A 12,814-nucleotide genomic window follows, 5' to 3' on the forward strand; every position below is an offset into this window, starting at 1 on the left:
TTTTTTATTGGTACACCGTAGGTGTATATACTTATGAGTTACGTGAAATGTTTTGATACAGGGATACAATGTGTAATTATCACATCAGGGTAAATGGGATATCCATTACCTCAAGCATTTATCCTTTGTGTTACAAACAATCCAGTTAAACTCTTTTCATTATCTCAAAATGTACAATTAAATTATTTTTGACTATAGTCATCCTGTTGTGCTATCAAATACCAGATATTATTCATTCTATATTTTTGTACCCATTAATCCCCATTCTCCCCCTACCCTCTGCCAACCTCACTACCCCTCCCAGCCTATCATTCTACTCTCTATCTTCATGAGTTCAATGTTTTAATTTTTAGCTCCTACAAATAAGTGAGAACATGCAAAGTTTGTCTTTCTGTGCCTGGCTTATTTCACTTAAAATAATGATCTCCAGTTCAGCAATGTTGTTGCAAATGACGAGATCTCATTCTTTTTTATGGCTGAATAGTACTCCATTGTGTAGACATATCACATTTTCTTTACACATTCTTCTGTCAGTGGACACTTAGGTTGTTTACAAATCTTAGCTATTGTGAATAATGCTGCATTAAACACGAGGCTGCAGATATCACTTCGATATACTGATTTTCTTTCTTTGGGGGTATACACCTAGCAATAGGATTGCTGGGTCATTTGGTAGCTCTATTTTTAATTTTTTGAGGAACCTCCAAACTGTTCTCCATGGTAGTTGTTACATTCCCAAAACTGGATACAAGTGTCCCCTTTTCTCCACATCCTTGCCAGCACTTGTTATTGCCTGTCTTTTAAATAAAAGCCATTTTAACTGGAGTGAGATGATCTCATTGTAGTTTTGATTTGCATTTCTCTGATGATCAATGATTTTGAGACCCTTTTCATATAGCTGTTTGCCATTTATATGTCTTCATTTGAGAAACGTCTATTCAGATCTTTTGCCTTTTTTTTTTTTCTTTTGGAGACAGGTTCTTACTCTGTCACCCAGGCTGGAGTACAGTGGTGCAATCATGGCTCACTGCAACCCCGACCTCCCAGGTTCAAGCTATCCTTCCACCTTAGCCTCCTGATTAGCTGGGTCTACAGGCATGCACCACCATGCCCTACTAAATTTTGTATTTTTTTTGTGGAGACAGGGTTTCATCGTGTTGCTCAGGCTGGTCTCGAACTCCTGGGCTAGGCTGTCCACCTGCCTCATCCTCCCAAAGTGTTGGGTTTATAGGAGTGAGCCACTGCCCCTGGCCTCTTTTGCCCTTTTATAAATCAGATTATTAGATATTTTCCTACAGAGTTGTTTGAACTCCTTATATGTTCTGGTTATTAATCCCTTGTCAGATGAATAGTTGCAAATATTTTCCCCTATTCTGTGGGTTGTCTCTTTATTTTGTTGATTGTTTTCTTTGGCACACAGAAGATTTTTAACTTGATGTGATCCCATTTGTCCATTTTTGCTTTGGTTGCCTGTGCTTGCGGAGTATTACTCAAAAAATCTTTGCCCAGGTCAATGTCTTGGACAGTCTCCCCAGTGTTTTCTTGTAGTAGTTTGATAGTTTGAGGTCTTAGATTTAAGTCTTTAATCCACTTAGATTTGATTTTTGTATATGGCAAGAAATAAGGGTCTAGTTTTGTTCTTCTGCATATGGATATCCAATTTCCCCAACACTATTTATTTATTTATTTTTTTGGAGACAGAGTCTCACTCTGTCACCCAGGCTGGAGTGCAGTGGCACGATCTCGGCTCACTGCAACCTCCACCTCCCGGGTTCAAGCAATTCTCCTGCCTCAGCCTCCCAAGTAACTGTGACTACAGGCGCAAGCCGCCATGCTCGGCTAATTTTTTTGTATTTTTAGTAGAGATGGGGTTTCACCGTGTTGCCCAGGCAGGTCTTGAACTCCTGAGCTCAGACAATCCACCTGCGTCAGCCTCCCAAAGTGCTAGGATTACAGGCATGAGCCACTGCGCCTGGCCCCAACACCATTCATTAAAGAGACGGTCCTTTCCGCAGTGTATGTTCTTGGAATCTTTGTAGAAAATCAGTTCACTGTAGATGTATGGATTTGTTTCTGGGTTCTCTATTCAGTTCCATTGGTCTATGTTTTTGTTTTTATGTCAGTGTCATGCAGTTTTGGTTACTGTAGCTCTGTAGTATAATTTGAAGTCAGGTAATGTAATTCCTCCAGTTTCGTTCTTTTTGCTCATGATAGCTTTGGCTATTCTGGGTCTTTCATGGTTCCATATAAATTAAAGGACTTTTCTTATTTCTGTGAAGAATTTTATTGGTATTTTGACAGGGGTTGCATGGATTTGAGTAGTATGGACATTTTAACAATATCAATTCTTCCAATCCATAAACATGGAATATTTTTCCATTTTTTGTTTGCTCTTCAATTTCTTTCATCAATGTTTTATAGATTTCATTGTAGAGATCTTTCACTTCTTTAAGTTAATTCCTAGGTATTTAGTTTTATTTGTAGCTATTGCAAATGAAATTACTTTCTTAATTTCTTTTCAGATTGTTCACTGTTGACATATAGGAATGCTACTGATTTTTGCATGTCAATTTTGTATACTGCAACTTTATTGAATTTGTTGATCAGTTCTAATAGTTTCTTTTGGAGTCATTAGGTTTTTCCAAATATAAGATCATATCGTCTACAAACAAGGATAATTTGACTTCTTCCTTTCCAGTTTGGATGCCCTTTATTTATTTATCTTGACTGATTGCTCTGGCTAGGAATTCCAGGACTATGCTGAATAAAAATGATGAAAGTGAGCATCCTTGTCCTGTTCCAGATTTTAGAGGAAAGGCTTTCAGTTTTCTCCTATTCAGTATGATACTAGCTATGGGTCTGTTGTATATGGCTTTTATTATGTTGAGGTTTTATATTCAGTTTTTTGAAGATTTTTATTGTGAAGGGATGTTCAGTTTTATCAAATGTTTTTTTCAGTATCAATTGAAATGATCATATAGTTTTTGTCCCTTATTCTGTTGATATGATGTGTCACTTTGATTGATTTGCCTATGTTGAACCATCCTTGCATCCCTGGAATAAATCCCATGTGGTCATTATGAATGATCTTTTTAATGTCCTGTTGAATTCAGTTTGCTAGTGCTTTGTTGAGGATTTTTGTGTCAATGCTCATCAAAACTACAGGATATTGGTTTGTAGTTTTCTTTTTAAATTTGTCTTTTCTGGTTTTGATATGAAGACCTTGTAGCATGTGTTTGGAAGCATTCCCTCCTCCTCTGTTTTTCAGAATAGTTTGAGTAGAATTGGTATTAGTTCTTCTTTAAATATTTGGTAGAATTGAGCAGTGAAGCCATCAGGTCCCAGGCTTTTCTTTGCTGGGAGACTTTTTATTAGGGCTTCGATCTTGTTACTTGTTAGTAGTCTGTTCAGGTTTTGGATTTCTTCATGATTCAATCTTAGTAGGTTGTATGTGTCTAGGGATTTATCCATTTATTTTAGGTTTTCCCATTTATTGCCATATAGTTGCTCATAGTGACCTCTAAAGATCCTTTGAAATTCTATAGTATCAGTTGTCATATCTCCATTTTCATCTCTGATTTTATTTATTTGGGTCTTCTGTCTTTTTTTTCTTAGTCTGGCTAAAGGTTTATCAACTCCATTTATCTTTTTTAAAAAACAACTTTTTGTTTTGTTGATTTTTGTATTGTTTTCTTCATTTCAGTTTTATTTATTTTATTTTGCTTTGATTTTTTTTTTTTTTTTTTTTGAGATGGAGTCTCGCTCTGTCACCAGGCTGGAGTGCAGTGGCGTGATCTCAGCTCACTGCAACCTCTGCCTGCCAGGTTCAAGTGATTCTCCTGCCTCAGCCTCCTGAGTAGCTGGGACTACAGGCGTGCACCACCATGCCCAGCTAATTTTTGTATTTTTAGTAGAGATGGGGTTTCATCACGTTGGCCAGGATGGTCTCGATCTGTTGACCTTGTGATCCACCTGCCTTGGCCTCCCAAAGTGCTGGGATTACAGGCATGAGCCGCCGTGCCCGGCCCTGCTTTGATTTTTATTATTTCTTTTCTTCTACAAACGTCAGGTTTGGTTTGTTCTTGCTTTTCTACTTCTTTAAGATGCATCATTAGATTGCTTATTTGAAGTTTTTCTTTCTTTCTTTTCTTTCTTTCCTTCCTTCTTTCCTTCCTTCCTTCCTTCTTTCCTTCCTTCCTTCCTTCCTTCCTTCCTTCCTTCCTTCCTTCCTTCCTTCCTTCTTTCTTTCTTTCTTTCTTTCTTTCTTTCTTTTTCTTTCTTTCTTTTTTTCTTTCTTTTTTTTTTTCCAGAGTCTCAGTCTGTCGCCCAGGCTGGAATGCAGTGGCTTGATCTTGGTTCACTGCAGCCTCAACCTCTCGGGCTCAAACTATCCTCCCACCTCAGCTTCCTGATGAGTTGGGACTACAGATGCGTGCCACCATGCCCAATTAATTTTTTCTTTTTTGTATTTTTGGTAGAGACAGGGTTTTGACATGTTGCCCACCCAGATTGAGGGTAGGTCTGCCTCTCCCAGTCCACTGACTCAAATGTTAATCTCCTTTGGCAACACCCTCACAGACACACCCAGGACCAATACTTTGTATCCTTCAGTCCAATCAAGTTGACACTCAATATTAATCGTCACAAGTAGAAAGTCAAAAAGATGAACCTATCAAAAATAATATCTACAACAACTTTTCAAGACATAAAAAATACAATAAGACATAAACAGGAACAGCAAAAAGTTTTATAATGGGGGAGACAGAGTTCTTATCAGTTCTCAGTATGAAGAGGGAAGTTTACAGCTAAAAGAGTCTACATAAAAAAACTAGAGGCCAGGCATGGTGGCTCATGCCTATAATCCCAGCATTTTGGGAAGCTAAGGCAGGAGGATTGCTTGAGCTCAGGAGTTTGAGACCACTTTGGGCAACATGCCAAAACCCTCTCTCTACCAAAAATATTAGTGTAAGTCCAAGAGTACAAAAGCCAAAGAACCTGGAGTCTGATGTTCGAGGGCAGGAAGCATCCAGCATGGGAGAAAGGTGAAGGCCAGAAGACTCAGCAAGTCAGTCCCTTCCACTTTCTTCTGCCTGCTTTATTCTAGCCAGACTGGTAGCTGATTAGATGACTGTGTATTTTCAAATGGCCTGTCGTCAAGATCACTAATTCTTTTGTCTGCTTGATTATTTCTGCTATTAAGAGAACCTGATGCATTCTTCAGTATGTTGACTGCATTTTTTTAACTCCAGAATTTGTTTGATTCTTTTTAATTATTTTAATTTCTTTGTTAAATGTATCTGATAGGAATCTGAATTCCTTCTCTGTGTTATCTTGGATTTCTTTGAGTTTCCTCAAAACAGTGAATTCTCTCTCTCTCTGGAATTGGCCCCTGGTGCCTTATTTGTTCGTTTGTTGAGGTCATGTTTTCCTGGATGGCCTTGGTGCTTGTGGATGTTCATCAGTGTCTGAGCATGGAAGAGTTAAGTATTTATGGTAGTCTTCACAGTCTGGGCTTGTTTATACCTGTCCTTTTGGGAAGGCTTTCCAGGTACACAAGGGCACTTGGGTGTTGTGATTCGAGTTTTTGGCCACTGCATCTTTACCTGCATTAGGGGGCACCCCAAGCCCAGTAACACTGTGTTTCTTGAAGACTTGTAGAGGTACCACCTTGGAGGTCTTGAATAAGGTCTGAAAGAAATCTCTGGATTACCAGGCAGAGACTCTTGTTCTCTTCCCTTACTTTCTGTCAAACAAACGAAGTCTCTCTGTCTGTGCTAACTGTCTGGAGCTGGGGAAGGGATGACACAAGCACCTCTGTGGCCACTACCACTGGGACTGCACTGGGTCAGGCCTGAAGCTAGCATGGCACTGTGTCTCACTGAAGGCCCACTGTAAAACTACCTGGCTACCGCCTATGTTCTCTCAAGGACCTAGGGCTCTACAATCAGCAGGTGGCAAAGCGAGTCAGGCTTGTGTCCTTCCCTTCAGGGCAACAAGTTCATTCCCCTAGGCCCCAGATGGGTCCAGAGATGCCATCCAGGAGCCAAAGCATGGAGTTGAAAACCCTAGAAACTACCTGTACTCTATTGAACTGGCACCCAAGCCACAAGACAAAGTCCTTCCACTCTTCCCTTCCCTTTTCCCAGGCAGAAGAATCTTTCCCTCTGTCCATCATCATCACAGGCTGGTGGGAAGTACTATCAGGCTACTGCCAATGTTCACTTAAGGCCCTAGGTCTCTCCAGTCAGTTTGTGGTGAATGCTGCCAGGCCTGAGACTCACTCTTCAGAGAAGTGGGCTCCCCTCTGCCAACGGCAGGTCCAGAAATGCCATCCAAAGCCAAGGCCCAGAGCTGGAGACCCCAAGAGCCTGCTTAGTGCTCTACTCCACTATGGCTGAGCTGGTGCCTAAGCTGTAAGAAAAAGTCCCCTTTACTCTTCTGTCTGCTTTTCTCAAGCAGAAGGAGTCCCTCCTCATAGTCACCACAGCTGTGAATGTACTGGGTCACACCTGAAGCCACGTCTCAGAGTCTCATCCAATGCCCGTGTTGCACTACCTTGGTATCACTGCTGTTTATTAAGGGTTTAAGGGCTTAGGGCTCTTTAGTCAGCAGGTGATGAATCCTGCCAGGACTGAGTCCTACCCTTCAAGGCACTGGGTTCCCTTCTGGTCCAGGGTGTGTCTAGGTTGCCCAGGAGATAGATTCTGGAATGGGAGTCTCAGGACTCTGCCTGCTGCCCTGTCTTACTGTTGCCAAGCTGGTATCCAAATTGCAAGACAAAGTCCTCTTTAATCTTCCTTCTCCTCTCAAGTGGAAGGAGGGGTCTTTTTCAGAGCTACAAGCTATGCTGCCTGGGGTTGGGGAGGGGTGGTGCAAGCACTCTCTTAGCTGCTTTGGCTTGTGTCTCATTAGGTTGCATACCCCAACTCCACTGGCTCTGACCCCAGCACAGCATTAGGACTTGCCCAGGAATTGCAGTCCTTGTGGCCTAGACTGCTTTTCAAATTTATTTAGAACCCCAGAGCATTTTAGCCTGTGGTGGTGAGGCATGCTGAAACTCAAGTTCCAACTGCTGGAATGGATGATTTCCCTCTGGCTAGAACTTGTCTAAAGGCTCCCTCCATGGATGTTGTTCTGCCCAGTGTTGGCAGCACTGAGTTCCAATGCAAAGTTCCACAATCACTGTGCTCTCCCTCCCTCAAGTGCACAGATTCTCTCTCCATGCCCTGCAGCCACTGCTGGAGGATTGAGGAGCGGTGATGTTGGCAATTCAAGACTGTCTTTCCTGCCCTCTTCATTATCTTTTTCTGGAATCTATAGGTAAAATTAGGTACTGTGATTGCTCACTTGATTTTCAGTTCTTCTGAAGGTGCTTTTTTGTGTAGATATTAAATTTGGTGTTCCTGTGGGGAGGATGATTGATGGAAGAGTGGGATTATGGGTGTGAGCCACTGTGCCTGGCCAAATGTGTGTATTCTGACTGCTCCAAAGACCCACCATTCTCCCATATCTCTCCCTCTCCTTGGGCCTCCCTATTCTCTGAGAAACAACAATATTAAAATTAGGTCAATTAATAGTCCTACAATGGTCTCCAAGAGTTCAAGTGATAGGAAGAATCACAAGTCTCTCACTTTAAAAAACTATAAATAATTAAGTTTAACGAGGAAGGCATGTTGAAAGCTGAGATAGGCCAAAAACTAGGCCTCTTGTGCTCAGTAGCGACATTGTGGATGCAAAGAAAAAGTTCTTGAAGAAAATTAAAAGTTCAACTCCAAGGAACACACAAATGATAAGAAAGCAAAACAGCCTTATTACTGATATGGAGGAAGTTTGAATGGTCTGGATAGAAGAACCAGACACAACCATCCCTTAAGCCAAAGCCTAATCCAGAGTAAAGTCCTAACTCTCTGTCATTCTATGAATAGTGAAAAAAGTGAGGAAGCTGCAGAAGCTGGCAGAAATTGGTTTATGAGGTTTTAGGAAGAAGAGGAAGAGGAAAGAAGAGGAGGAGAAAGAACAGGAAGAAGAGGAGAAAGAGAAGAAAAAGAAGGAAAAGAAGAAAAGGAAGAGGAGGAAGGGGACAGGGGAGGGGGAGGAGGGAGAGAGGGAGGGAAGGGAAGAGAAAAGGAGTAGAGTAGAGACAGGTGGGAAGAAAGGCACGAGTAACCTGGTGTACAGTTGGGGATTATGAAGGACTAAATGGCACTAAAATTTCCCTGATGAAGAGGAGACTAAAAGATATTTTATTCCTAGGTATATGTCTAACCAAGGAGGTGAAAGATCTCTACAATGAAAACTACAAAACACTGATGAAAAAAATTGCAGATGACACAAACAAACGGAAAAATATCCCATGCTCATTGATCAGAAGAATCAATGTTGTTAAAAATGAGCCTACTACCTAAAGGAATCCACAGATTCAATGCAATTCCTATCAAAATATCAATGTTATTTTTCACAAAATTAGAAAAAGCAATCCTAAAATTCATGTAGAACCAAAAAACAGCTGAATAGCCAAAGCAATCCTAAGCAAAAAGGACATAAGCTTGAGAGAATAGAAGTAAGGAAGAGACATTTCATGAGAAAGGGCATTTTGGGTTAAGGGCATGGGGAGGGGTTCAATTTGGTTGCAGTGTTTAAGAGGAAGTGGCATATCATGGGGATGGAGGAAAACCACAGGTGACCTGTAAGAGGTCACATGTGCAAGGTTTTGACTATCTTGTAGGTGCTGGACAACTACTGAAAAATGGCTAATTAGCAAATTTTCTCTGACATCAAAGGAGAAGATGAAGCAGGGAGGAAACAGTTGCCATGTTCCAGGTGAATCAGACCTAAGGGTGAGACCAGAACTAAGCTATGAGTAGTAGAAATGGAGAAGAACATGCACTTTGAGGAAATATCAATTAATGAGGGTTGCCAGGACTTGGTAAAAGTACCTAAGAAGCAGTCCCCAAATGAAAGTACACATTGCTGTGTTTTGAAGGCTCATTTGCTCCTCCATGTCTTGCCTTTCAGATAGCACAGAAATTATTTCTCAGCTCTTGGGGAGGTTGTGCACTCTTCAGTCTCCCTAGGCTCAGGGTTAAACAAAGATGGAGACTTGGAAGGGAGTGACTCCAAGGGCAGAGAAACCACACACAACAAGCTGACTTCTTCTTGTATGTTCAGGGATAGAGTGGCCACAGGTCATTTAGAGTAGGTGTCCTGCCTTTCCAGATGATGGCTGATGAAACAGAGAGGGGCAGGAAGTGAGAAGGAATCCCTTCATGTATTTCTACTGGCTTCCCGAGAGCAGTGGAGACTAGCTGAGCATAGCATCCAGCAGGAACACAGAAGAGTATGCTAGCATGGAATTAATGACACAGACAAAGAAATAGAAGAAAACTAGTAGAGGAATGACTGGATCCCACTCTCTCCTTCCAAATGCCCTATCCTATGGGTCAGCCTGAACCAAGGTTTGTTTCCAAGACGGTTTCAGGGACAGGAAAGCCCATCTGAGGTCTGAAGTTGAAGGATCCAGTAAAGTTAGTCCTGTAGGTTTGACAGGGAATATTGCTCCCACTTTACAGATGATATCCAGGCAGCAAGAGTTAAGCCAGTAACTACAGACAATGCTCTGGTGGTATGTACTCCTGCGTACATTGTTCTCGGCATTTAATTTGAATTATGTTATCCCTGTGAGGTTGGTAGTTTTATTATCCCCGTTTAATAGATGGGGGAATTGAGACACAGAGGGGCTAAGTAACCTGCCCAAGGCTATATAATGCATATGACAGAGCCAGAATTCAAATCCAGGCAATGGGACATCAGAGAGTATGCCTGACCACTATGCTCCATTGACTTCAGCACCAGCCAAGTCTTCTGATTCCAAGCCCATTGCTCTTTCCAATACATTGTAACAGTCACTTCTTGGCATAAAAATATCATATATCATGCCAATAGTTTCATATGTAGGGGATTTCAAAGGTGTACCTCTGGGAAGCCTATGATCTCAGCCACACTGTAGGAAATAAATTGCAGAAGTTTAGTGTCTTAAATTCAAATCACAAACACAGTATTAACAGTGGGGTGGAAGTATTAGTAAAAATTCATCTTATTAAATGAACATCTGTTTCCTGGAATTTGACAGCATTCTCATACAAGTATGGCCAGGCTGGGATGGCTCACTGAGAAAGTTTAAGTATACTTTCTAATGAAACTTTCGTAGTTACAAAAACTACAGCGATGAAGTCAGTGGGTAAAGAGTCTGAATTTTAGTACCTTTAAAAAAGAAGTCAGACACATTGTTTTATCTGCCCAATTCTAGAGTCATTATATCTCTCCCTCCCCAGTCTAGTGTTAATAAAACAGACAGACTGGGCAGGGAAATGGCAGTTAGTGGGCAAAGGGTTTTTGGTAAGGAAGTGGGCATAGTCCAGAATATTGGGAAATGCCACTGCCTTTCATCTGTTTTTGGGACTGGGATGGGTTTCCATGTCAGATTGATTGCAAAAAATGGCTGCAATTCTTCAAGTACTTTGCACTGTGACTTTGCCAGCAACTCCATTAAGAAATGGAGTCTATTTCCTACCCCTTGAATCTGGGCTGTCTTGTGACTTACTTTTAGCCAGTAGAATGTGGCAGAGGTAGTGGTATATCGGTTCCAAGCCTAAGGTCTTAAACCAAGACCTCTTGGTCAGTTCGTTTTTTTGAGTTTAGTCTCACTCTGTTGCCCAGGCTGGAGTGCAATGGCGTGATCTCGGCTTACTGCAATCTCCATCCCCCAGGTTCAAGTGATTCTCTTGCCTCAGCCTCCCAAGTAGCTGGGATTATAGCCTGCCACCGCGCCCAGCTAATTTTTGTACTTTTAGTAGAGACAGGGTTTCACCATCTTGGCCAGGCTGGTCTTGAACTGCTGGCCTCGTGATCCACCCGCCTCAGCCTCCCAAAGTGCTGGGATTACAGGCGTGAGTCAGCGCACCTGGCCATCTTGGTCAATTCTAAGATCAAGAGTTCTTGAACATTTCCACTTTCTTTTGCCCCTCTGCCTTTATTAGGAGAACAATCCTGAACTAGCCTGCTGGAAGATGAGACATGACATGAAGCAGAGATGCATATTCCCAGCTGAGGCCATCCTAGATCAGCCAACTCTGGCAGACCTTCCAGCTGTGGGCAGTCACATAACAAGCTCAGCTGCATACTTTGAGCCCATCCTGGACCAGCATGGTTGCTCAGCCAGCTCCTAGATGCATGAGAAATAGTAAATGGCTGTGGTTTAAAGACACTAGACATTGGGATGGTTTGTTATGTAGCATTATCGTAGCAATAGAGAGCTGACAAAAGCACCAGAGGAAAATCTCATCAGTGACAGGAAGTCTGCTCCCCTCTATCATGCCCTCTTTCTTATGCTTGTGGCTTTTGCATTTCCTTCTAATAGTGGCTGCCCCACTCTCACCCAGCCCCACAGAAACTCTGCAGTAAGGCCACTGGTTACCTACTGGGGAAAGGTGGCCAATGCTTACATTACAAACACACAGAAGAAACCATACTCATGTTTTCTCCAGCCCAGAGCAAGTCAGCAACATGTCAGAAATCCAGACCTTCCTCCTTTGTTCCTTTTGTGTTTGCACTTTGGTTCGCTTTCCACCCAATTCCCATCATGGCTCCTCTTTCTACTTAAAGACGGTTGTATCAAAGGGTTTCCAATCAAGAAATCTGCATTTGCACAGGTTTGGATTCACACTCTGGCTCAGCCTCCTACTAGCTGTGTGCTCTCAGAAAAGTCGCTCAACTCATTGAGTCTGTTTCTTTGTACATAAAATGGGGATGATAATTCCTACCTATAGGGTTATTGTGAGGATCAACTGAAGTATGTACTTAGGATGTATTAAATAATACATCAATAAATGGTAGTTTTGACTAATTCGTGGGCCCCATCCTCTCCAGTTCTCAACTCTGGGGCTCCTTTCAGAATTCTAGTTTGGGTTCAAACCACCTGCAAGCAGAATCCCATAGAATCTAGTCTCTTAGGACCTGCTCTAATCTCTAGTCCCTGCAGGCACCCAGGCTGATGTATTAGTGTCCCCATGCAAGTACCCTTTACAACAGAAAAGTGTCAAAACCCTTTTGCAAGTGGGTCAGTGGGCTATCCTGCCTCCCCAAACCCCAAGCTGTGCTGACCGCCTGCAATTATTTCCACATGATGCAATGCTCCCCCTCCCCTTGGGAGCAGTATTAGGTTTCCTCCCATTCCCATACACTTCAGAGACTGCTACCCTCTCACATTTCAGACGCTGACCTGCTCCTTTGCACTTTTCCCCTCTGCTTGTCTGGAGACCTGCATAATGAAATTCAGACAGTGGTGACTAACTTCCCCTCAGAACAAGGTGGCGTGGGCTGGCAGGGAGCATGCTTCTCCCAAGGCTGGGGCATAAAGCTGAGTGAGAGGAAGCTTGGTGACTTCATTGCTTCGTGTCAGATCAGAGGTTCCTCGCTCTGAAGGGAAAGGCAAACACTTTTGATCTGACTATGGGAGGCGGGGAGAATACATGCGATCTATAAAATGAAAGAGGCTTTCCAAAAACAACAAGGCTGAATCATAAGAACTTACATTTATGGAACACTCTGCCGTTTCTAAGGCTCTTTTCACACGCATTGTTTCATTTGACTCTCACAGCAGCCCTGGGAGGCACAGGGGACCAGGATTAACATCTCTGTTAGACCAACATTCCCGCTAGACCTTCCAGAAGAGTGCTGAGGTCACACAGTAAGGAGGTGGCAGAGACTAGGCCCACCTGCAGGCCTCTGGACCCCACACCCAGCACTCCGGCTCTGT

At 42.5% G+C, this 12,814-nt stretch overlaps 1 annotated feature.

The window, feature by feature from the left end:
* Window positions 12,239–12,533: an enhancer, noted in NCBI's record as "tiled region #14006; HepG2 Activating non-DNase unmatched - State 2:TssF, and K562 Activating non-DNase unmatched - State 21:Repr". NCBI's record gives its function as "activates a minimal TATA promoter and a strong SV40 promoter by Sharpr-MPRA in HepG2 and K562 cells {active_cell/tissue: HepG2 | K562}" and the evidence as "EXISTENCE:reporter gene assay evidence [ECO:0000049][PMID:27701403]".

The sequence above is a fragment of the Homo sapiens genome, chromosome 1 (genome assembly GCF_000001405.40).
Source record: "Homo sapiens chromosome 1, GRCh38.p14 Primary Assembly".
NCBI lineage: Eukaryota > Metazoa > Chordata > Mammalia > Primates > Hominidae > Homo > Homo sapiens.